This window comes from Homo sapiens, chromosome 1, assembly GCF_000001405.40.
Source record: "Homo sapiens chromosome 1, GRCh38.p14 Primary Assembly".
NCBI lineage: Eukaryota > Metazoa > Chordata > Mammalia > Primates > Hominidae > Homo > Homo sapiens.
In genome coordinates, this window is record NC_000001.11 from 211,740,305 (window position 1) to 211,764,540 (window position 24,236).

General features: G+C 38.4%; 1 protein-coding gene across 10 annotated transcripts in view, besides 2 other annotated features; it reads right to left on the reverse strand.

Moving 5' to 3' along the window:
- Positions 1 to 3,152: 3,152 nt before the first annotated feature.
- Positions 3,153 to 24,236, reverse strand: part of LPGAT1 (lysophosphatidylglycerol acyltransferase 1) — an 87,307-nt gene continuing 66,223 nt past the window's right edge. For all 10 annotated transcript variants that reach the window (NM_014873.3, NM_001375841.1, NM_001375844.1 and 7 more), the window contains 2 exons: positions 10,657 to 10,763; positions 3,153 to 9,746 (listed from right to left, as the gene is read on the reverse strand). In NM_014873.3, coding sequence (NP_055688.1) covers positions 9,595 to 9,746; positions 10,657 to 10,763 — 259 coding nt within the window. In that variant the 3' untranslated portion in view covers positions 3,153 to 9,594. The remainder of the gene's footprint in view (positions 9,747 to 10,656; positions 10,764 to 24,236) is intronic.
- Positions 3,445 to 3,614: an enhancer, noted in NCBI's record as "experimental_3231 CRE fragment used in MPRA reporter constructs". NCBI's record gives its function as "activates a minimal promoter by MPRAs in K562 erythroleukemia cells, with activity observed for both the introgressed and non-introgressed 1:211917176 or rs2298095 variant alleles {active_cell/tissue: K562}" and the evidence as "EXISTENCE:reporter gene assay evidence [ECO:0000049][PMID:34662402]".
- Position 3,530: a transcriptional cis regulatory region, noted in NCBI's record as "Neanderthal adaptively introgressed variant 1:211917176 (GRCh37/hg19 assembly coordinates) or rs2298095 in the experimental_3231 CRE". NCBI's record gives its function as "modulates activity of the experimental_3231 enhancer by MPRAs in K562 erythroleukemia cells {active_cell/tissue: K562}" and the evidence as "EXISTENCE:reporter gene assay evidence [ECO:0000049][PMID:34662402]".

A 24,236-nucleotide genomic window follows, 5' to 3' on the forward strand; every position in this document is an offset into this window, starting at 1 on the left:
GGCGCTCCAACCTCAAAGCTTTTTCTCACTGCTGTCTGGAGCCTTAGATATATTAAATATAGTCTGACTGTGTGGGGTTAGGGACTTGGCTATGCTGATTGCATGTGTCTAACTTAAAAACCAAGAGACCTAGGGCATGATAACAGCTCATTGCAGCCTCAATTCTCTCAGGCTCCAGTGATCCTCCTACTTCAGCTTCTCGAGTAGCTGGGACCACAGGTACACACCACCATGCCTGGCTAATTTTTTTTTTTTTTTAAGTAGACACGGGGTTTCACCATGTTGGCCAGGCTGATCTCCTGTCAGCCTGGTGTCAAACTCCTGGGCTCAAGTGATCCTCCTGCCTTGGCCTCCCAAAGTGCTGGGGTTATAGGCATGAGCCACTGCATTGGGTATGCATGGAACACATCACTTGCAGTTTAGGCACATCTCAATATGAGAATAACTTACATCCTCTGTTAAACCCAGTTGGGGTGAGATAAACACAGCCTCCTTACTGCACATTCAGTACAATGTGCCAGTGTCTTATGTGCTTCCTGTATATAATCTCACTTAATACTGAAAAGAAGTCTTGGCCAGGCATGGTGGCTCACGCCTGTAATCCTAGCACTTTGTGAGGCCAAGGTGGGCGGATCATGAGGTCAGGAGTTCAAGACCAGCCTGGCCAACATGGTGAAACCCCGTCTCTAATAAAAATACAAAAATTAGCCAGGTGTGGTGGTGCACACCTGAAGTCCCAGCTACTCAGGAGGCTGAGGCAGGAGAATCACTGAACCGGGACCCGGGAGGCAGAGGTTGCAGTGAGCCGAGATCACGCGGCTGCACTCTGGGCTGCAGAGTGAGACTCCGTCTCAGAAAAAAAAAAAAAAAGAAGTCTTTGAGCGTTTCCCATTTAACACATAAGGAGAGTGAGGTTGAGAGGATAAGAAACTTGCCAAAGGGCCAAGGTCGAATTGAAGTCCCCGGTTCTGCTGCTCCTGGGCTCCTACTTGGACAAGCCCTTAACACTTGATGGCGCCATGACAGAGGGATATTCGGGCACTAGTGGCCATCGTGGCCTAGAATTTATTACCTACTCTAGTTCCACACTAGAATTCAGAAAAGAAAGAAACTATTATGAGATTGAAATCTGTATCCCCTTTGGTCTAACATAAAAATGTTCTTTTTATCTTCTACTATATAGGGCAAAATTTTTAAAATGCACTTCACTTCCACATCCAAAAAAAAAAAATAATTAATTTCAGGGCTTTTTTCATGGTTAATTGTATCTCTGCAGCAGCTGAGAGGAACATTAATAAAAATTATCTTTTGGGGTTTTGGGATTATTAAAATTGAGGATAAGGATGTTATGGAAGCTTTAGCTTCTAGATCCATCGCCCTTTTAACAAATATACTTGTTCCTTTAGATTTCACTCTTATTTACGAAATACATAAATCTGAACCAAAGCAATATGCTGTTTTGGGGAAAATATATGAATGCAAATAAAAGAAAGCTGATTCTAGTCCCCACAATTCTACTAAGTAGCCATTTGATGCTACCAGCAATGCACCAAAATTGTATCAGAGTGAAATCTGCCATCCCAAAACAAGGTGACTACTTGCTCTGAAATTCTAAGAGCCAATCAGTCATGCATCAATCGGTGCCAAAAATAATATAATGTCCAAACAAAACCTCCATTCTTTTAGCTAGGTGTCCATTTGATTAATGTGACTTATACGAATGAGGGATGGATCAACAAATCTAATCCTCTTAAGGTATTTGGGAACTCGAAATATTTCTAACTAATGGAAATTATGGGCAAGCCTGCCAAAGGGCAAGAACTCTTTTAGACCCATCTAGTGTTCTTTATTCAAATAGCTTAGGAATTTTTTTTTTTTAACTGTGGTAGCTGATCTTCAAAGACAGCTCCCAATGAAGCATGCCTCTCAGTATTTGATAGTATTCTACCCATTTATAGACCTTCCCACATTGAATCTGGACTGGCTCTGTGACATGTTAACTAAAGGAATATAGCACCAAAAGTGACTCTGTGCCAGTCTTGGACCTATGCCATTAAGAAGTCCTGGTACCTTCTACTTCTGTGAGCCCTGAGCTGCCATTGCTGCCACTGTCCCACACTAAATATATCAGAATTCAATACAGCCAACGCAGGCCCAAATGCACCATTTCTAATGCCATCCTTTGTCCTTACTGAAACAAGCATAAATCAGAGAAACACAAAAAGCCTGATTGTGGGCTAAGATGCCTTGATTGAAAGAAGCTTCTGTGTCATCAATATTTTGAATTGTCCCTTTGTCACCCTGGAGGGGCATCCCTACTGGCTGAGGTATGCCTTTCCTCAGTAAAATGGGCAGTTATCTGAAATGGGAGGTGGGATCTTTTACAGGTGAGTTCCCAGGGAAGACACTCTGGGTCAGAGTTCTCATGGAAGTTGATTTCTTCCTTGGAAGTGTTTGTGTATCAAGGATATATGTACCTGTTTGTGGACAGCAGGCTCTGGTCTTCCTTTTGTCTTCCAGCACTCCTGGCTTCCTCTTCCTAGCACTCCAAGCTCTTCTGATCTCTCCACTTCTAGGTACCTATTTGCTTTTCCCTCAACTGTCCATCAGCTGGCCCTGATAGTGTGCACTGCTAAGAAACTGAAGGTAAGACCCTTTTCAGGGAGATTTTCCCATCAAAAATGCAACAAGGAAATAAAGATGCAACCACTGATATTTTAAGGGAAGTATCCCAGTGCCAGGTTTTTTCAATGACACCACACAGACAGCTGCTACAATCAAAGAATGGCTGAGTGTTCTCTTGCCTCGGTAAGTCAACAGTGAGAACTTTACCATCTCCATCTCTAGTGCTCCCACACCCAAAAGGCAAAAAGTATTCCAAAGTGGGGCACTAAAATCTTTCCAGGGGAGAACTCAGAAATGAGCTCTGTGATGTGCTCCTTGCTCACTAGTAGAAAACATTGTTCCAGTTTCTTCCTTTGTACCTACTAGAGAGTGCTTTTCTGATCATGAAAGGGGCCCATCTCATTTCCAGCGGTTAGCCAACCCTCCTCCCACGTTCCATATGTCTGTCTGTTTCTATGTGATCTGAACTGTTGAGACTTGGTTTATGTTTCTCAAGCCTCTAGGAGTTAAGAACAAGGTTACCCAGATCCTGAGAGGTAAAAATTTATTGATTTCTATCATATCAGCATGTTATGATATGGTCACGCCTGCTCATACAGCTGACTTCTTAGAGCCAAAAGAGAATTTTTTTCCTTTTAAAAATACATTTGTTCAGCAGGAAAAAACATTTTAAAAACAAGCATTTTCATATTAAGTGGAAATTAAAAACAATGGCTTTCCCCCCGCCAACTCATGAGGAATAGGGCTGGTCAGCAATAGATCTCTGAGTGCTTCCAATTTGTTTTCAGGCCTCTGTCCCCAGTCTGTTCCTTGTCTTCCACAGAAAGTAGTTCCAGGGGAAAAAGAAATTAGAATCTCACCAAAACAGCAGCCTAAATACAGATAGAAAAATAAGAGGTAGACACGACTGTAACGATTTAACTCATTTGGTAGACTGTGCAAGATATTTTAATATTTAAATTTTTCAGTGGGATTTAAACAATTGTTTAAACATCAATAAAACAATTGATGTTTTAAATGCTAACATCTTAGAGATGCCTATACCACAGTTTACTTAGCTTTGAGAAATGAAAAGTATAAAGACAACTTTAGAAATATGCAAGCTTCCCATGTATTTCAGTAAATGTTTTCTTTCTGTCACATTCTTCTAAATCAAAAGTTCGCTGTGTAGGACTGACATTAATGCTTTTCCTACCCTTTAAAGCCCTGGCCAGGGTCAGTGATAGGAATTTCCTGAGTTCAGCAAGTAGATTAACTATGAGAAGTTTATTCAACACTAATAGTTAAGAAAAAAAGGATGGGGCAGTGGTGTGCTGGATACAGCCCCTACTGATTCCCAAGACCCAGTGGTCACATTTTAGAATTTTGCCTGCAGTTGTTAAGCATTGGTTATGAAAATTGAATCATATAAATTTACAATTAATGTTAAAGCTAAAAGTGGTTTCGGCTTAATGAGTCTAATATGTACCATGGTAAGAAACAGTTTTAACAGTAGATCACGTATCAGATTGAATGATAATAAATTTATTGGGAAATGAGTTAGATTTGGACAGTCTGCCATTTTTCAAATCACAGTTGAAAGACAATCAATCATAGGTTGACTGTAGGAGTTGAGCAAAAAGCAATTAAGTATCCTTTTAAAAAAGCATTTTAGTTCTTTCCTGAGCAACTAAGTATACTGTGAGAATCAACTGGCTATATGGGATTTACAATAAAGTATTTGTATCTTATTATTTGTTAATTGTGTTATATGTTCTTGCTATCAGCAAAATTTATAACAAACATGTATAGTTGAATACATAATTTTCTCCCAGAAGAGTGAACTGCTAAACATTTACCAGCACACCACTGGATTGGGAGAATGGGGAGAAAGGGGGAAATATTTTTAAACCAAAGAAGGAAGTCTGATGTTTTTTCATTTGGTTTTTCAGTTTGCCTTCAGCATCCAACTGCCACAGTGTGCTTTAAGTACTTGCCTGCAGATATTAATGCCCAAATAGCTCTGGTAAAACACACATGCCCCATCCCCACTGCTAAGAATTAAAAGCACTTTAATTGAAAAAAATCAACTTTATTTTTTCTAGGTTTAAAAAAAATAGAACCAGCTATTAATTTTTGTTGAGAAAATGCTTCTTTTGGTGTTCACATCTAAATTTCTGAAAAGGTGATCTGGTTACCAAAATCATCCCAAATGCATTCATAAACCAGATCCACGTGTGACCAGCCCTTTACAAAAATTAATTACAGTTGCCACAGCCTTTACATTCATTCTTATCACACGTTACAACATGCAGATAACACAAAGAAAGGTCAACAAGCTGAAGTAAACATTACAGCATCAGGAAAATGAAAACCCATCTGTATAAAATAAATACAATTTTATAATAACTGTAAAGAAAATGAAAGCACTTAATAAAAATAATGGCAGTTGAAAGTATAACTGTCTCATCACCCGATCATAAAATAAGTTACTGTAAAATGCATAGACTCCTTACACGTAAAGAATTTGTGCATCACAGTCATGTGTTCAACAGTTTTACACAATAAAAATAAAGCCATTCAAGATATGTGTGCATACTTTGCAACTAGAATACACTTAAAAAACGTTTGCTCTTTAAACTGTCTTAAAAAAATATTAAATGTAAAAACCCTCAGATGGAAATTTTGCAGAAAAACCCATATTTTATCTTCCATGTGGCTACAGTCACCCTTCCCCAACAGTTCAGCACCCTCAGCTTATTCCCAGGGTCCAGTTCCTAATTGTTGGGGATTGGCGCAAAATGATTACAATAAAGCACCAACCAATGACTGCTCCAGAGAATGCCCAGCCCCTCTGTGATCTGGAAATCTCTAACTTAGATGGTTTTGGTCCCAAACATATTAGTCTCTACCCTTCCTGCTATCCACTGCTGCTTTTGACTTTGTCCTTCATATTAACAGATATAAGGCTCATAGCACTGCAGAGCAAAAAAACATAACAAACCATTTTTATCCATCCTCTGTGGACCAGAGCTGAACACACTCATAATGGTAACTCTGGAGTGAAGTCCTGTGTAATGACTTCAAAAAAAGAACAAAGAAAACAATTAACTCTTCCTACTCAGTAGTGCAAATAAAACATTTTCTTTTCAAATATAAAAATAATCCAAGAAGACTATCCATGATTAAAGGCTACTCTCTATGATTAACCAGGTCCAACTAGTTCAGAAGAGTCTTTAAGGAAGTGATTGTCAAAAAACACTCAGACAAATCCACAAGAAGTGGGCAACATGAGCAAAGAATGAAGACGCTTCTTAACATGAATCCAAGACAGCAACACTAGAATAATGTTCCCAGGTTTACATTTGGTGATTTCAGATTTCATTTTCATAAAAAGGCTTGAGAACAATGCCAATACTGCCAATTTTTGATTATTCAGGGATGCTTTTCTAACCCATAGATTATTCAGGCTTCTGTATTTCCTCTTCCTGATAGCTGTCTTTCCGCATCATTTCACTACTCATTAACACAGTCATAAATATATAGGCAAAAAACCCCTAAGAAACAACTTAAATCATTTAATTAGTAAGCGTCCCTAGAAAAAAAATGTCTGATGAGAGTAAGAATTCAAACTCCTAAATAAAAGTAATTTTTGATTTACCTATCATTTATTACCAGATTATCTATCCAGAAAGTAATCAATCTAGTAATCCTTCCTTTATAGTGGAAAGTTAAGGATTGGTTGTAATATTAAAGACCAATAAGATAGATCTGAACTCATAGCTATCTTCTTTTTTAATATACTTTTGGAATTCTCAGTGAATTTGTTTGCTTGCCCAAAATATTATTTTCCATTCTGTAATTTTTCTTTACCTTCCATTACTTACAGGTTTCTCTGCAATTTAAGTACAGTTCACCACCAATAATTGTTTCTGAAGTTAAGGGTGACCTGCTGGCTTGGTCACTTTTGCAGTGACTGGACCTGCCTGTGGCCAAGCACATGTTCCATCACTGTAACTCATCAATACCAAGATTCCAGCAATGGATTCTCAACCTTGTCTGCTGTGGGAATCTAGGCAGTCTAGCCAAGACCAAGAAGAGCTGAGCTTCTACAAGCTATTGATATAAAACTGGCATAGTTTTATCTTCTTTCCTCTTGACAAAATATATATACTTTAAACGTCCTTTCATCTCCCTTCACAAAGTACAAATTAGGAACTTTTCTTCAGTTTTGTACAGTGGCATATTGCTGCTTCCCCAGATTGCCATATAAGAATACTGATTCTCTCTTTACCTTCTCTAGTGCAAGCAGGAGAACTCCAGTTACTGATAAGGAAAGCACTACCAATGCTTTCAAACATATTTTGCAAACAGAAGAGAGAGAACATGTTAAAGAATCAAAGAAGGATAGGGCAGATCAAATACACATCTATTTACAACTCACGGAGATATTTAAAAAAATTAACTCACATATCTATTGGCATTTGTCACCCTGGAGACTGTGAAAATGACACCGTACTTGAAAAGTAAAGCATCTTATAGAATAGTTTAATGTGTACAGTATATTTAACAATATCATGTTCCTTTGGAGCACAGTGATGGCAAAAGTGGCCCTCAGCCACATTTATGTATGCATGTTCGCATTTATTTTTGGATAGGAGAACTGGTCACTCTACCCTGTGGCTTGCTGTAGCAATGAGGAAAAGGTCTATCAGCTAGGACCGTGCATGCTGTATTTGACAGTGAGCAACTTCTCCCCCAGATGGTTGACTAATCCCTCAAGTGAACAATTTCATTTCATCCAGTAATTTAGTGGTGCTTGCTGGGCCTCAAACAGAAGCATCATTAAGCTTCTATTGGGCTTTCTGTCATCATCCATACCTCTAAATTGAGATTGGTTTCATTTATTCACCGACACTGTAGAACACATAATGAAATGCTTAGATTTAAAAAAAAATTGCATTTTATAACAACCAGTCCCCAAACCAAACACATTAACACTGTCTTCTGCATTTTACCAGTAGTAGTATAATATTCAATGAGGTATTTCAGTTAATGCATCATTCTCTTTCACATATGCACTGAGTTATCGTAAAGATGAAGCTGCTGTGGGCTTTTATTTGGTGTTGCTTTACCTTTCCCACATAACTGGGGAAAATTCACATCTTTTCTGTTTTTTTTTGGTTTATTTAAAAATAGAAAACAGCAACCTTTTTTTGTTTTATAGCCTACTTCTCAAAATTGTTGTGTGATTAGTGACAACGGGGGAATCTACAATGCTCACATCACAGTAAACTACCACTGACTTACTAGGATCTTAATAGTCTTACAATCCCAAACAAAAACCCTACTCATCTCACTGATGCAGTACCAGCACTTTTGGAGAAGGGTGTGGTTCTCTTATGAGGTAAATTGTACAAACATCGCAACAAATTTCTAAAAAATGTTTTCTAGAAATAGAAACTTGACTTTACCCTCTTCAAAAGCAACTGGAGGCCGGGCGTGGTGGCTCACGCCTGCAATCCCAGCACTTTAGGAAGCCGAGGTGGGCAGATCACCTGAGGTCAGGAGTTCGAGGCCAGCCTGGCCAACATGGTGAAACCCCATCTCTACTAAAAATACAAAAATTAGCCAAGCATGATGGTGGGTGCCTGTAGTCCCAGCTACTCGGGAGGCTGAGGCAGGAGAATCGCTCGAACCCGGGAGGCAGAGACTGCAGTGAGCTGAGATTATGCCACTGCACTACAGCCTGGGTGACAGAGTAAGACCTGTCTAAAAAAAAAAGAAAAAAGAAAAAGCAACTGGAAGAGATTGGGGGGAGCCTTATGTGCTGGTATCGTTCCTAATTACACTCACCCTGACAGGGGCAGCTCCTTGATGTAATGATTCAACAGACTACTGTCTGCACAGGTCCTAGGGGTGCCACATGAGAACCTGTCACCATTATAAGCCACTAGCTCTTATTTTTCTATAAACTAGCCTATTTCCCCTTAAACTGATCATTTAAATGTTCTATAGTAATTTGTTTTAACCATCCCCAAATGCATTTAGTGCCAATGTCAAAATGGAAAAAATAAAGCCTCTGAGCTGCAATAGAGGCATCACGTCAGGGTGGTGTCCAGGGCAGGATGGCGCTGGAGAGCACTGGCAGGCAAATAAACACACAGAGACAAGACAGTTCTCGAGAACCTCACACACTGCTATGCTCCCATTTGTTTTCAGGCTATATTACTAATCCTTTGCTATATCTGCATCTCAAAAAAGTGCATTTTGCAAAATTATCAATTTATGATATGCCTCTGATACAAAATGAGAAGTCAGATAAGGAAAAGCACGAGTGTATGTAAACACAGTGTTGGACTGAGCTAGCCTTTGTAAAGAACACATCCAGTACCAGAAGGGGTCCAGTGGACACTGCTTTTCCCCCACAGAGAATGTCAATATTCTAGAGTTTGTTACTGCAACAGACTGGAGTTTGTTACTGCAACAGACTGGAGTTTGTTACTGCAAACGACAGGGAAAGAGTTCTTCACGAGGTGCCAACCAGCTCCCCTCAAGTTTACTGAGTTGGTGGAAATGTGGGCGTTCTAGAGAACTGCCCTAATATAGACTACAGCTAAGAGGGATGAATATAACTTTCTGAGCTTCAACTAAATTGTCAAGTATAACTGGTGGCAACAGAATTTCTCTCAGATAGTCTTCTAGGATGATTTTATGATTTCCTCTTCTCCAAATGTGATGTTTGCTTAAATATGTGATAGAGTGTATCTTTTTAAAACATGTTCTTAAAATATATTAGCAGGTCATTATATTACTAATCCTCATTTTAGTAGATTTTAAAATATCCCAAAGGGGGATAAATATTAATCCATCCATTGAATTTCTTTTGCTTTTTTTTAAATATATTCTGATTTGCACATGTAAAATAATGCACACTTATGAAAGAAAGTCTGAACTCCTACGGTGACCTTGACAAGTCCACGTCAATTCCTAAAACAGGCAATGGTAAAAATACTGAATGATGTTGTACCACATATAGCCTGACAAAAATGCAAAAGACTGTATGAGAAATATCCACAAGTTGCTGAGGGTCATCTCCCTGGAAACAGCTTCCTTATGGCCCTTGGAAGGTGGAAAAGCTCCTAAAAGACAAGATAGAAATATTAGTTTGTTTTACTGTAATGGTAGGTCTCCTGGAATAAAAGTTGAATATTAGCTTAACTACATTTGTACATGTTAAAGCACCTTCAGTGACTTTCCAGTGCCCCAGAGGAGAGATTTTATTTGAAATACAATTTCTGTACTACCTAGCCCCTTCTTGCCTCTGAGCCTTTGCCTTTTCTCTGCCTGCAATGCTGTCCTCCTCCACTTAATGAATAGCTGGCTCATGTGCATCCTTTCCATATCAGAAAAGATATTCCCCCTCCCATCTCTGTTTATCTCCTTCCTGGAACTTTTTCCAATTGGTCATGATCCCAATTATCTTTCTTTCTGCAGACTTGTTTGCCATGTCTCCCACTGGAATATAATCTGCATGAGAGCAGGCACTCTAGCTGCCTTGTCTCTGCTGGATCCCTAGAGATTCCCACAGTGATCAGGACCCAGGATTATGTGAGATTGACATGAAATAATTTCTGAAATAGCACACTTTATGCTGATTCCTCTATTTACAAATTTTTTGTCAAAAAAGTAGTTGTATAACACTGACATTATTTTTAAAAGGCAATATGCTTTATGAAATGTATCTTAATAATAAAAGAAATACAAAGTAAACAGATGTCTTTAAATTCGTTTCTGGAAAGGAATGCTAGATAACTTCATACAGCAATATTACCTAAGGTCATCTTGATAACACTCATCAGCATTTCAAGCAGTCTTTGTCCTTGCTGATAATCCCCAGGGTAAGCTGATTCATGAGGGGATTTGCTTCTCACAGGCAATTTACAGAGTGCATTTTCAAGTTTCAAGATCTAATATGCAAACAGCTTTCTTTAAAAGAGGCTTTCATTACTGTTGCTATAATTTAGCAACTATTTAAAGGTTACTGTGTACCTGTTTCATAAAAATGTGATAAGAGGTCTTCTTTTTCAACAAACCGCTGATAGAGCCAAGTGGTAAGGTCATCAGTCTCCAGGGGTACATCTTTAATTGGAAAGATCCTATTAAGGGTTAGAAGAAAAGAACAAAAACTATTTAGTTCAGAAGTCAAAATCATTCAGAACCACAACTTATGATGAAAAGCTGAATAAAATTGTGTTGTCATCTTTTGCTTTAACAAGGGTTGGTTTCTTCAGCTTTTCAGGTATCTTGGTTATTAAAAATTGTTGATTACACAAGAGAGTTAATTTATGCATTAATTCAAACATTTACTAGTCTACTATGTTTAGGTCCAGTGTTAGATGCTGAAAACATACTATTAAATTACCTTATATCTATGAATAACTACAGAGAATAATTATGTCTTCCCATGTTTGTGGGTTTAAGTAGAAATGGTATTTAGAACAGATGAAGTTTTAAAATGCAGTTAAATCAGGATGTTCAGTCATTTAGTTAAATGTCAGGCAATATTCTTTTGGTGGGAAAGTCTGAGAAGCACAGAGACTCTGCCCAAATCGGTAATATCAGTAGTATCAGAGATACTGCTTTCATGAATAGGGGTAACTTTTACCGGTTGGGAGTGGCTACCAGAACACTATTCTCAAGATCTGAGACCATGTCCTGACTCACCAGGAAACACGATTGTGATTAGTGATACCCATGGACTGAGAGGGGACAGGCAGCATGAGGACTACATATTTGCTGACCTTGAAAAATAGTTTTATTTTTTGTTTTCTAATTTAGTGGGGGATTTTTTGTCCCCTTTATCAAAGGTATAAAGGCACATGGTTTAAAAAGTCAGCAAAAAATATATTTGTATGAAAAATGGGAGTCCTGTCCCTCTTCCCTTCATTTCTGCCCTCCCCAGAATTGATTATCACCTCTTTTAGCTGATTATCTTGGTATTTATCACCATGTTTCTTCTGTTTTAGGCCTTCTCTACTGACTTCCCAGTATGGAAGATGAGGATGAAGTTCTTTCCTCTTCCTATTCCCATAACATATGCACATTCTTCCCATCTTCCCAATACAATTGTAGAGTAATTTCAGTTAGCTCAATATTAGGCATTTATATTAATACAATCATGTAAATATATTCATTGCTAAGCCACGGAGTAAATCGTGGCTACTTTTCCTTTCTTTACCAATTTTTATTTTCCCTGGATTGAGAAATTATGTATCATTTTTCATTTGCTTAATTTTCCATGTACATGTAACAAATTCAACCACAAACTCTCAGGCAATTGTCTATAATCAATGCTCTAAATCAGGTCTGTAAGCTTTTTTTTAAAGGGCCAGACAGAAAATATTCTACGCTTTGCAGGTATAAAAATAAATAAAATTTAAAAGCTATTGGAATCCCCAAAACACTTTAAATCTTGAGAGAGATGTGACCTTGATCTGAGTCACGAAGCATGTAGTTGCAACTTCTGCTTCTTATAGATTAATTCTCCTCCTCATTGTTCTTGTTCTGTAAATGACTAGGAGACACCAGAGACCAGACCTCCTGCCCTTCTAATCTCTGACCTTTGTTAGAGATTAACTACCTCCTTTATTGTCCTGTACCTAACTCAGACCAGATGGTACAAAAGACCCCACGACAGTTACACCTTCGGTGGGGAATGCTAAATATACCTTTCTGGAAAGAAAAAGACCACCTTGCCCAATCAGATCACTGTAACTATGCATTAAACCTTATGTAGAAAGGTGTTGAAATTTTGTTAAGCTTCCCTAAACCTTTTCTATATAAACAACCCCAAACTTCTACACTTTGGAATACTGACTTCCAATTTTTGGAATCTGTGCTTCCTGGGTGGCTGTCCTCAAGCTTTGTGCCTAATAACCTTTACATTTGACATATTTCTTGAATCTTGTTATTTAAAGTTGACACAGGCTATACTATCCTGTCACAACTACTCAATTCTATCTTTGTAGTATGAAAGCAGCCAGAGACAATGTATAAATAATACACAGTAGCTGTGTTCAAATAAAATTTTATTTAAAAAACAGGCAGTGGGCAGGCAGACCTGTGGTCTAAATCTTCCTCCTAAGCAATCCCCTTGCATCAGACATTCTTTCAATTTCACCTTCCTAAAGAAATTTCACCCAGATGCTGCCTGTAGTCTCACATTAGGAGGTCCCTTCACCATTGTCCTGGTGAGTCCCTGCACTCCTAAATCGAATAGAATGTTAACTATACCTCATGTCTCTTTCACTGATTACTTTTGATGAGGACATCCTTTAGCAGTTTCTTGACAAACAGTATTTGAAATCTTGGAGGTCTGCCAATGTCTTTTTTCTGTCCTCGAACTTGGTTGATAGTTTGGCTAGATATAGGATTCAAGGTTAAAAACCATTTTCTTCCATCTCTTATCTTTCTGACCTCCTTTCTGGAAGATTTCTTATTTAACTTCTAAATGTTTTATGGAGTTTTTATTTCCTTTATTGTATTTTATTTTTTTGCTTTTTTTCTTTTTATAAATGAATAAATTGCTCACACTCAGGTCTTTTTAATTTTTAAAGAGCTCCTATTGTTCTCAGTCTTTTTTATAGTATGCTATTATTGTATTATTGCTACAATATCTTATGTTTATAATAAGTTTTTTAAATTATAATGGAAATTTTTAAACATTCACAAGAGGAGAGAAAAAGGTTAATGAACCCCCATGTACTATTAGGAATTCTAGAAGCAGACCTTGCCCTGTATAGTCTGGTCCTCCATGTCACCTTCTTGTGTTTGCTTTAGTCTTTATCTTTCAAGAGTTCAGGTCCATTAGATTACTAGTTATCTGACATTCTTTGTTGTTCCATCACATTTACAGATGTGGGACTGAATGGCTGATTGAAAGCTCTCAGCTTACAAGTGGAGTCTGTTGCCTGTTACCCTCACTGAGGATTATCTCGGCTGGGCCATTAAAATTGGTCTCTTCTCTTAAACTCATCCCCTTCCCCAAAGAAACATCCTCTGATTTCCTGCTTAGAGAGTGAAGGCCCGATTGCTAGCTTTCCGGTAGCCAGTGAGATAAGAGGGCTGGGAATCTTAGCACTCAGCACACTGACATCACTTCACCATGCTGTTTTAATTATGAGACCTCTGCCTCAGTTGTATCTGTTGTTCCTCAGTCCACAGAGCCCCTATTTCCCTCTCCAGAGTAAGCCTCCAATGTTTGCCAGGGTAGGGAAAAGTAATTACCCAGCTGTGGGATATAGGGTAGGGGCTGCGGGATCTGCATTCTTCTTAGATTTCAACCAGTCTTCCCAAGTTTAGTAATGCTTTCAACCTCATTTCCACAGGTGCTGATGCTGCCAGACTTTTGGAAGTTCTATGGTATAAGGTTGGCTCCTGGCTTTCCCACAGCTGGCTTGGGGTTCTGTTATGTTATTTACTGCTCGTTCTTTTTTCCAACTTCCCAACTTTTGCCGCCATTGTCTTTCAGGCTGTTTTCCTCATCCTTGTGGGTTTACACCTTTAAAAACCCATTTAGTGTTATTTTATGGGGGTTTTAGGAGAGCAGGAAGTAAACATAAGTCCAATCTACTATGTCTTTTGAAAAGTTCACCTGTTATTTCTGAAAGATCTAAGATGATTTGCTATCTTTGGCCAGGGCCTACCACTTATCATTCTTAAAGGGGCCTCCATTGCTATTTTGGGTTTAGGCAAAATGAGTGTTAGTTCCTTACTAGGGATTTGAAAATTATAATGATGCATACCATTATAAAAACATCTTAGGCCAGGTGCGGTGGCTCACACCTGTAATTCCAGCACTTTGGGAGGCTGAGGTGGATGGATCACAAAGTCTGGAGTTCAAGACCAGCCTGGTCAAGATGGTGAAACCCCGTCTCTACTAAAAATAAAAAAAATTAGCCAGGCGTGGTGGCAGGCGCCTGTAATCCCAGCTACTAGGTAGGCTGAGGCAGAGAACTGCTTGAACCCAGGAGGTGGAGGTTGCAGCAAGCCGCAATGGCGCCACTGCACTCCAGCCCAGGCGACAGAGTAAGACTCAGTCTCGAAGCGACAGAGCAAGACTCCGTCTCCAAAAAAAAAAAAAAAAGCCAGGCGAGGTGGCTCACGCCTATAATCCCAGCACTTTGGGAGGCAGAGGTGGGTGGATCACGAGGTCAGGAGATTGAGACCATCCTGGCTAACACGGTGAAACCCCGTCTCTACTAAAAATACAAAAAAATTAGCCAGGTGTGGCAGCATGCGCCTGTAGTCCCAGCTACTTGGGAGGCTGAGGCAGGAGAACTGCTTGAATCTAGGAGGTGGACGTTGCAGTGAGCCAGGATCGCACCACTGCACTCCAGCCTGGGTGACAGAGCAAGACTCCGTCTCAAAAAAAATAAAAATAAAAATAAATAAAAAATTTTATAGTATAGATAGTAGAACATGATGTTTAGACCAGCAAATAAATATTGAAAAAAAAATCAGAAAAGAATATTACTTATGAATTACATTATAATGATACCTCTTTCTCTTGTTATTTAAACATTTAAATATCAGATTGGGGGAGTATTTTAAAACCCAAATTTAAGTGCGAGTAGACAGAAAAAAAATAGAGGAAAGAAGGAAGGAGTGTGGCATGAAAAATCTATTAAAAACCAATTTGAAAATCACACAGGGCTGGGCATGGTGTCTCACACCTGTAATCCCAGTACTTTGGGAGACTGAGGTGCAAGACTCCATCTCAAAAAAGAAAAAAAAAAAAAGAACTCACATGCTTTTGATTAAAATTTTACTTTCAAAAATTTGAAAGGATGAAAGATAACCAAAATAGAGTCTTATTTACACAGAAAATAACTCTCCCATTCTTAATAACCTTCTATCTCCCAAAATACAATACTACATTGCTCTACAGCAGTAATATAAAAGCGTTTTGGTTGATGAAATATTTTAATGGAGTGGGAGATCCTAAGGTCCAGAAACTTCAAGTTTCAGCTTGCTGCTGTAAAATCCCCTATTATCTGCCTCACGCCTATAATCTCAGCACTTTGGGAGGCCGAGGCAGGTGGATCATGAGGTCAGGGGTTTGAGACAAGCCTGGCCAATATGGTGAAATCCCGTCTCTACTAAAAATACAAAAACTAGCCCGGCATAGTGGCACGTGCCTGTAGTCCCAGCTACCCGGGAGGCTGAGGCAGGAGAATTGCTTGAACCCAGGAGGTGGAGGTTGCAGTGAGCTAAGATTGCACCACTGCACTCCAGCCTGGGCAACAGAGGGAGACTCCGTCTCAAAAAAAACCAAACCAAAACAAAAAAAATCCCCTATCATCCCTTATTATTACAACTTGAATTTACCATTGTTCTGAATAAGCTAACAACAGAAAGATGAATTAAAGAATGTCTTTTTTTTTGTCTCACTCTGTCACTCAGGCTGGAGCGTAGTGGCATGATCACAGCTCACAGCAGCCTTGACTTCCCAGGCTCAAGTGATCCTCCCACCTCAGCCTGAGTAGCTGGGACCACAGGTGCGCATCATCATGCCCAGCTAATTTTTTTGTTGTTGTGTTTTGTAGAGACGGGGTTTCCCCATATTGCCCAGGCTGGTCTCGAACTCCTGGGCTCAAGAGATACACCCTCTTCGGTCTCCCAAAGTGGTGGAATTGAGTGAGCCACTGTGCTCAGTCAACTTTTAAAAAAAGAAAAAATATTGGAAATGCTGATGCCACATAAAATCATCCTATAGGTTAGCATTCGTAGCCCTTTTAACACCTTTACTCCTAAGTAATTTAAAGATCTCTTTCAAACTAAACATTTTTCCTCTGCATTCTCCAGCTCAGGTTCTGATATGCCTCACTGAGTGAGTGAGTGGGACTCCCTGGCTGAGATTCCCTTCTACAACAGTGTTTGCTTTGTTTTTTTTTTTTTCTCTCTTTTTTTTTTTTTCCACACATGGAGAGTCTTTGCTTTTTGGGCACAATTAAAATAATCCCAGAAGACAGTGTGGCCTAGTGATTAAGCATACAAACTATCACGCCAGGTGCGGTGGCTCACACCTGTAATCCCAGGACTTTGGGAGGCTGAGGTGGGCAGATCACGAGGTCAGGAGCTCGAGACCAGCCTGGCCAACATGGTGAAACCTCGTCTCTACTAAAAATACAAAAATTAGCCAGATGTGGTGGCAGGTGCCTGTAATCCTAGCTACTCGGGAGGCTGAGGCAGAATAGCTTGAAACTGGAAGGCGGAGGTTGCAGTGAGCCGAGATCGTACCACTGTACTCCAGCCTGGGCAACAAGAGTAAAATTCTGTCTCAAAAAAAAAAAAAGCTATTGGGCAGACTGCCTGGGGTTGAATCCTGACTCTACCACTTGCCAGTTGCGTGACCTTGGGAAAATTGTTTAACTGCTGTATGACTTACTTCCCTTGTGTTTAAGATGGGGCTAATCATATTACTTACCTTACAAAGTTGCTAAATATGTAAAGTGCTTACATATATACATATATTTGGCATATGATAAACACTCATACAAATGCTAGTATTGGTTGTGCTGATTAAGTGCCAGATCATTTAAGGTCAGCATTATTGTGCTTCCAGGTTTTTTGGGTTCAGCAATAGTTGTAGTGACTGCACTGGATCTGCAGGTGTCATGGGTTTAGCATTCCATGACTATTTTCATATAGTCAGATAATAAAGTCAATACCAAGAATTTAAAAGATGAAGTCTTGACAGAGATTCTGAAGACGCTGTTAATATCAATATTGATGTAATCAGAGGAACAGAGACAAGGAGATAAAATTTCAAATGAAGAGTCTCTGCCTAATTAAACAAGTTTAACTTTCCATCTCTTCAAAGGGTAACTTCCATCTTTTGAATTGTAAGAAATGCTCATGTTAGAAAAGATGTCTCAATAATTTTATTGCCTCCTCTTTGTGCCCCCTACATTTTAACCAAAAATTCCTATGGTGGGAAAGTTATAGGATATAGAAGATCCTAAGTTTGCTTTGATAGGCTACTTCGCTTGCAGTATATATGAAATTCTACAGAATTCAGCCACCAGGCAAACATGTTTCCATGGAAAAATGTTCTGTGCTCACCATATAATGCTAGGCTTACATCTCCTCACCCTGCTGTATCTTGGCTCCTTGGCTGCAAAAGGCCAAACTCCTGCCATCATGTCCATTTGAAGTGGATTTGAAAAGATGATTTAAAAATAGTTTCATAAAGTGCCTTTTCCTAACTTCTTTTCTAAGAAGTTTCCAGGTATCTGGTTATATGAAATAGCCATTTACATATAAGGGTTAGGCTCAATTTGAGTCAGTGAATGATTGAATGTCTGTACCTACCAAGGAACCTTACAATTTTAATTTGCAGGTAAAAGACAAATTAATGCAAATAGTGACAATTTTGTTTTTACCTTTCCTATGTTAACACTTTTATTTTTCTTGTCATATTGCTCTGGTAAGAACCTCTAGTACAGGGCCGGGCATTGTGGCTCACACCTGTAATCCCAGCATTTTGAGAGGCTGAGGTGGGCAGACCACAGGGGTCAGGAGATGGAGACCATCCTGGCTAACACGGTGAAACCCCATCTCTACTAAAAATACAAAAAATAAACCGGGCATGGTGGTGGATGCCTGTAGTCCCAGCTACTCGGGAGGCTGAGGCAGGAGAATGGCATGAACCCAGGAGGCGGAGCTTGCAGTGAGCCAGGATCACACCAATGCACTCCAGCCTAGGTGACAGAGTGAGACTCCGTCTCAGAAAAAAAAAAGAACCTCTAGTATAATGTTCTAGTACAGTGATAATAAGCATCCTTCTCTTTCATTCTTAATCTTTCAGGGATAAATATTCAACCAATTAAGTATATTATTTGCTGTAAAATTTTTTATAGATACCATTAATCAGATTAGCCTTAATAGAAGAAATTCCCTTCTATTTCCAATTTGCTAAGAGTGTTTTCTTTTTTATCATCAATGAGTTGCATTTTATTAAGAATTTTTTTATCGATTGAAATGGGTATGTAATTTTCCCCTATATTTTGTTAATATGAACTACTTTGATTGATTTGAATTTTAAACCAACCTTTCAATCCTAGGATGTATGCTGTCACTATATAACATTACATATTTTAATATATATTGCTGGGTTTTATCTTGCATCTATAACCATGTAAGAGGTCTGCCTGTAAATTTTCCTTTCTTATAACATCTTTAGTTCAGGTTTTGGTGTCAATGTTATGCTATCCCGATAAAACAAGCTTAGGAAGTATCCTTTCTTCTTCTATGCTCTGGAAGAGTTGTGTTTAATGTCCTTTTACTATTTTGTTTTGGTTTTTTTAGAGACGGGGTCTTGCTGTTGTTGCCCAGGCTGGTTTCAAAGGATTCTCCTGCCACAGTCTCCTGAGCAGCTGGGAATACAGGTGCACATATACCATACCCAGCTCCTCTTTTTAGTAACTATAAGATTTGTAGTGATATCCCCCTTTTCATTCTTGATATTGGTAATGTAGTTAACAGTGTTTTCAAAGAAATGAAATTTTCTGGTATTGCTATTTCTACCATATGTTTCCTATTTCAACAAATTCTCCTTCATTTTTCCCGCTTTCTACTGTAATTGGATTTAATTTGCTTTTCTTTTTCTTATTGAGATAAATATTTAGATTACTGATTTTTAGCTTTCTTACTTTCTATAATATTAGCATTCTAAGGCTATAAATCCTTCCTATGCATAGATTAAGCTACATCTCACAACTTTTGATAGATAATATTTTCATTATCATTCTGCAAACAATATTTTTGAATTTTCATTGTAATCTCTTAATACACAGTAAACATTAAATTCCTCTTATGCTCTACTGATAAACAGTTTCTCATCTTTTGTTATTAGAAACAATGTGGCAACAAATAGCATTATACAAATGTTCATTCATATGTAAGTTTATAGGATAAATTTCCAGAAGTGAAATTGCTGTGTCAAAAGCTAAATGTAGTAGTAATTTTGAAAGATATTGCTATATTATCTTTATAAAGATTGTACCAATTTATATTTTCATTAGCAACTTGTGAGACTGATTCTTACTGAAAGATTTTTAAATTGGAGAATTACCAAGTCAGAAGGTTCTCACTTAGGTATAGAGGATGGCTAGTAGTGTTTCTTAACTAACTGGGCTATGCCTGACTGGGGACATATTCGTGGAAATCCATCCATGAAGTCTCTTTAAGAATAGAGATATCGGGCCGGGCGTGGTGGCTCACGCCTGTAATCCCAGCACTTTGGGATGCCGAGGTAGGCAGATCACCTGAGGTAGGGAGACCATCCTGGCTAACACAGAGAAACCCCGTCTCTACTAAAAATACAAAAAATTAGCCAGGCGTGGTGGCACATGCCTGTAGTCCCAGCAACTCGGGAGGCTGAGGCAGGAGGATCACTTGAACCTGGGAGGCAGAGGTTGCGGTGAGCCGAGATTGCATCACTGCACTCCGGCCTGGGCAACAATAGCAAAACTCCGTCCCCCCAACCCCCCTCAAAAAAGAATACAGATATATTGTGTTTTCATTTCAACATTAATCTTCATTAATAAAAACATTCTGAATCATAAGATAAGTATCTATAATTAAGTACTACCATTGGAATTTGGTGCCTATATTTATAATAATTTTGGTACAAAGCAGTACTAAAAAGTAAAGGTCCAGAAAAGTAAATGGGTGCATACTTAAAAGCAAACTCTATTTTCTCACCTCTTAAAATTGATGACCTCTGAACTATGTATGTATGGGGCAGACTCCGAGCAGAATAAAGCTCCGCAATTCTTAGCTAATACATTACGGTTCTAGACAGAAGGGTGCTCGGAGCAACATAGGAACTATTAACTATTCAGGAAATCTAATTGTTTCTTTCTCTTTCCTCCAATTTAAATGTCCTTAAATGTTTGGATATTTAGGAAGGTCAATTAACTTCACCTTGATATTAGAGGCATGTCTTAAAATTTAAAAATCAGATTTTTCTTAAGTGAAAGGTATTACAAATTACTGAGTTTTTACTTTTAGATAATTTAATATGGTCTTAACACATTTTTGCAGCCTATGTAGCGCTTTTTTAACTATTCACCTTTACCATCCTGAGTAGCAGCCAAATACTTGAATTACTTTTTGACTCCTAAAACTATTCTATTTCTGCTTTGTTGACACTCACTGCTTAGTATAAAAGGCTTATGCATGCCACCACTTGCAGGAATCCTCTCACCAAGGGAAAGGATTATCTAGCTTTTCTTTAAAAAACAAAATAAATTTATCCCAAGCAAATGTCTGCCAATCTATTATCACTCAGCCAATTCTGGTAGTCTTGGCACCCTTCTCATTAAAAACCCATGTCAGACCTGTCATCATATATCATTCTCTTCATGACAAGTATTGGGGTGTAGCAATGGGCTCATAACCAATTAGGGCCATGGAGATGATAATGAAAGTTCTGTGGGGCTTTAGGGAAAAGTTAAAGAGGGATTACAAGAAAAAAAAATCTATTTTTTCTCTTGTCTTTATCTTCATGGAAGTGTGAGGTCTTACATTTCCTCAGAGCTACTGGCTGAGGATGAAACCAACACAGAGGAAAGCAGAACTGGGAGAAACAGAGCTTGAATCACCAGATTAAGTACATCATCCTGTTCTATTTTCAATGTCCAATTATGTGAGCTAATAAATTCCCTTATTGTGAAAGTCTGTTTGAATTGGACTTTGAGTTACTTAGAGATACAAATAGTTAGCTTGGCTTTTAAGGTATACCAAAATCTGAACTCAACTTTCCAACCATATTTCCCAGAACTTCAATTTATGTATGCATATTACAGACAACTTATTGTTTCTAACACGTGTGCTATACTTCCATAGTTCTGTGTGTTTGTTCATAGTTACTACTGCACAAAATGCCCACCCATCTACCAGTCCCATCTCTAGCTACCTAAATTCTATCCACCATCTTCTAAATCCTAAAATAAATAAAGCTTCCATAAAGTTTCCTCTGGTCTAAGAAGGCCATAGTCCCAGTGGTTAGCACAGAATAGGTACTCTTTGTAAGACAGATAAAAACTTGTTGACTCACATCAGATAATACTTGCAGTATGTAATTACTTTATAAGATTAATTTAGCTTCTGTTAATATAAAATTAGGTCTAATCAACTTAAGGATAACTTAGCAAGGGCCACAGGGCTAAAAGAGATCTCAAAATAGTATCTAAAATATCTTTATAAGGAGAAAATTGACATTAAAAATAAAGCTGAATTAAAGCTGAATTAAACAGAAGAACATTAAAAATAAGGCTGAATTAAACCGAGGAAGTTTGGGTTTACCAGTTGAATTCACAAAAGAATGCTGGTGAAGTATCTATTGCTTCAATGGGGTTGAACACGGGGACGGGGCTATGTGTTGAAAGACAACCTCTTCTACCATCTGCCCAGAATAGCTGGGATATTCTCTTCTCTTAGGAGACAGCCAGGAGGGCAGAACAAATGCTCCCTCAAGAGCAATCTACTTCTATTACTCTGATTGGTCACCATAGGATTAAAATATTAAAATGACTAATCCCCTAATATGGCAAAGGATTAAATACATTGAATACCAGTCCTCTTGAAATCAAATCAGAGGAGTGCTTGTGGGATTTAAATAAGTAAATACATATACACCAGAAATAAACCTTTACAATACCAATAGCTACCCAAATGAAAAACTAGCTCCTAATTTTCAAGAAATGAACATTCTTATTATCAGTAATTCAGAATGTGCTCTTAAATAGAGAATATACTACCAAAATCCATAGTCAGATTTAAAAGCACTAGATGAAATTACACTTTCAAAAAAAATGTAAAATAATACTTAGCAGCTGGCACCCCCTATACTGGAGTTGGAGCATTTGAATTTTTACGTCAAGACTCCAAAATGTGAGCTGACAAACAACATGGCTAAACCCTCAATTCAATTATGTCAAGATTGTGTAAGGAACTAAGCACCGAAGAAGATTCTGAAATAAACAATTCCTGCTTTCAAATAGCTAATCATCTAGCTGAGGGAAAAGAAAAGTAACAACCAGAATATGATAAATATTGTGTGAGGATTTTAGAGAACTACTGCGTGAGTTTAAATGAGGGAATGTGTGTATCTACTTATGGCATGGGACATATAAAAGAGATATCACTTGAATTTGGCCTAAAAAAGTAAGAAGAATGCTATGGTTTGAATGTGTTTGTCTCTGAAACTCAAGTTCAAACTTAATCTCCAATGTCAGTATTAAGAGGTGAGGCCTTTAAAAGGTGATTTGGTCATGAGTGTTCTGCTTTCATGAATAGATTAATCCATTCAAGGATTAATGGATTAATGAGTTATCAATGGAGTAGGTTAGTTATCACAAGAGTGAGTCTGTTCTAAAAGCCACTTTGGCTCTCAGCGCTTCTCTCTCACCCTGTGATGCCTTCTGCCATGTTATGAAGCAGCACAAGGCTCTCACCAGAAGCCAACTAGATGCAGCCACCTGATCCCAAGATCAGCCTCCACAACTGTGAGAAAGAAACTTACATTCTTTATAAATTACATAGTCTCAGATATTTTATTACAGCAATAGAAAATTAACTTAGATATAGGATTTTTTTTACTTTGTTAAGTAACATACGTATATAATTTCTAAAAGTCAAAGCATACCACAGGGTAGACAACAAAAAATGATGGCCCTATACTTTCCTCCCTCAGACACCTGTTTCTCAGATACAACCCCTCTGTTTCTTTTGCTATTTCCATATAGATTATAAATGTTTTAATAGCACTATTTCCAGATTATCCTATTTAAAATTTATTTGTTGGTTTCCTACTACGGCAGGTAAGAATTTGACTATCTTAAACCATTGTCCTCTTCTCCTTCAGCTTCCTCCTTCTCCTCTCCTAGATAATTAAAAATTCCTTCTTGGGCTGGGTGCCATGGCTCATGCCTGTAATCCCAGCACTTTGAGAGGCCAAGGCGGGTGGATCACCTGAGGTCAGGAGTTTGAGACCAGCCTGGCCAAAATGGTGAAACTCTGTCTCTACTAAAAATACAAAAATTAGCTGAGCGTGATGGCATGTGCCTGTAATCCCAGCTATGTGGGAGGCTGAGGCAGGAGAATCACTTGAACCCAGGAGGCAAAGGTTGCAGCAAGCTGAGATCATGCCACTGCACTGCAGCCTAGGCGACTAGAGAGAGACTCCATCTCAAAAAAAAAAAAAAAATCCTTCTCAGTGCCAACTGTCTTTTGTAACTGTGTCTATGATTATACCTATTAGTTTGTGCTCTATTTATTTTCTCATGTGCCTGTTTTGTCTAACAGACTGCGCTATTCTCAGCTTTGCACCCAGTGTATAAATCAGTGCCTAGTCCTTAGTAGGAACTCAGGTTTGCTGAACAGAATTAAATTACAGTAATCTGTGAGCACAAAACTTTATGTGGTGTCATCTGTAGACAATCATCAATGTTCATGGACACTACCAGGGTTAGTGTGGCAACAATAACTCAGAAATCCAGAAACTACTTGTTACAAAAAATAGATTTATGGACAAAAACAGAAACTGTCAAATTTAACGT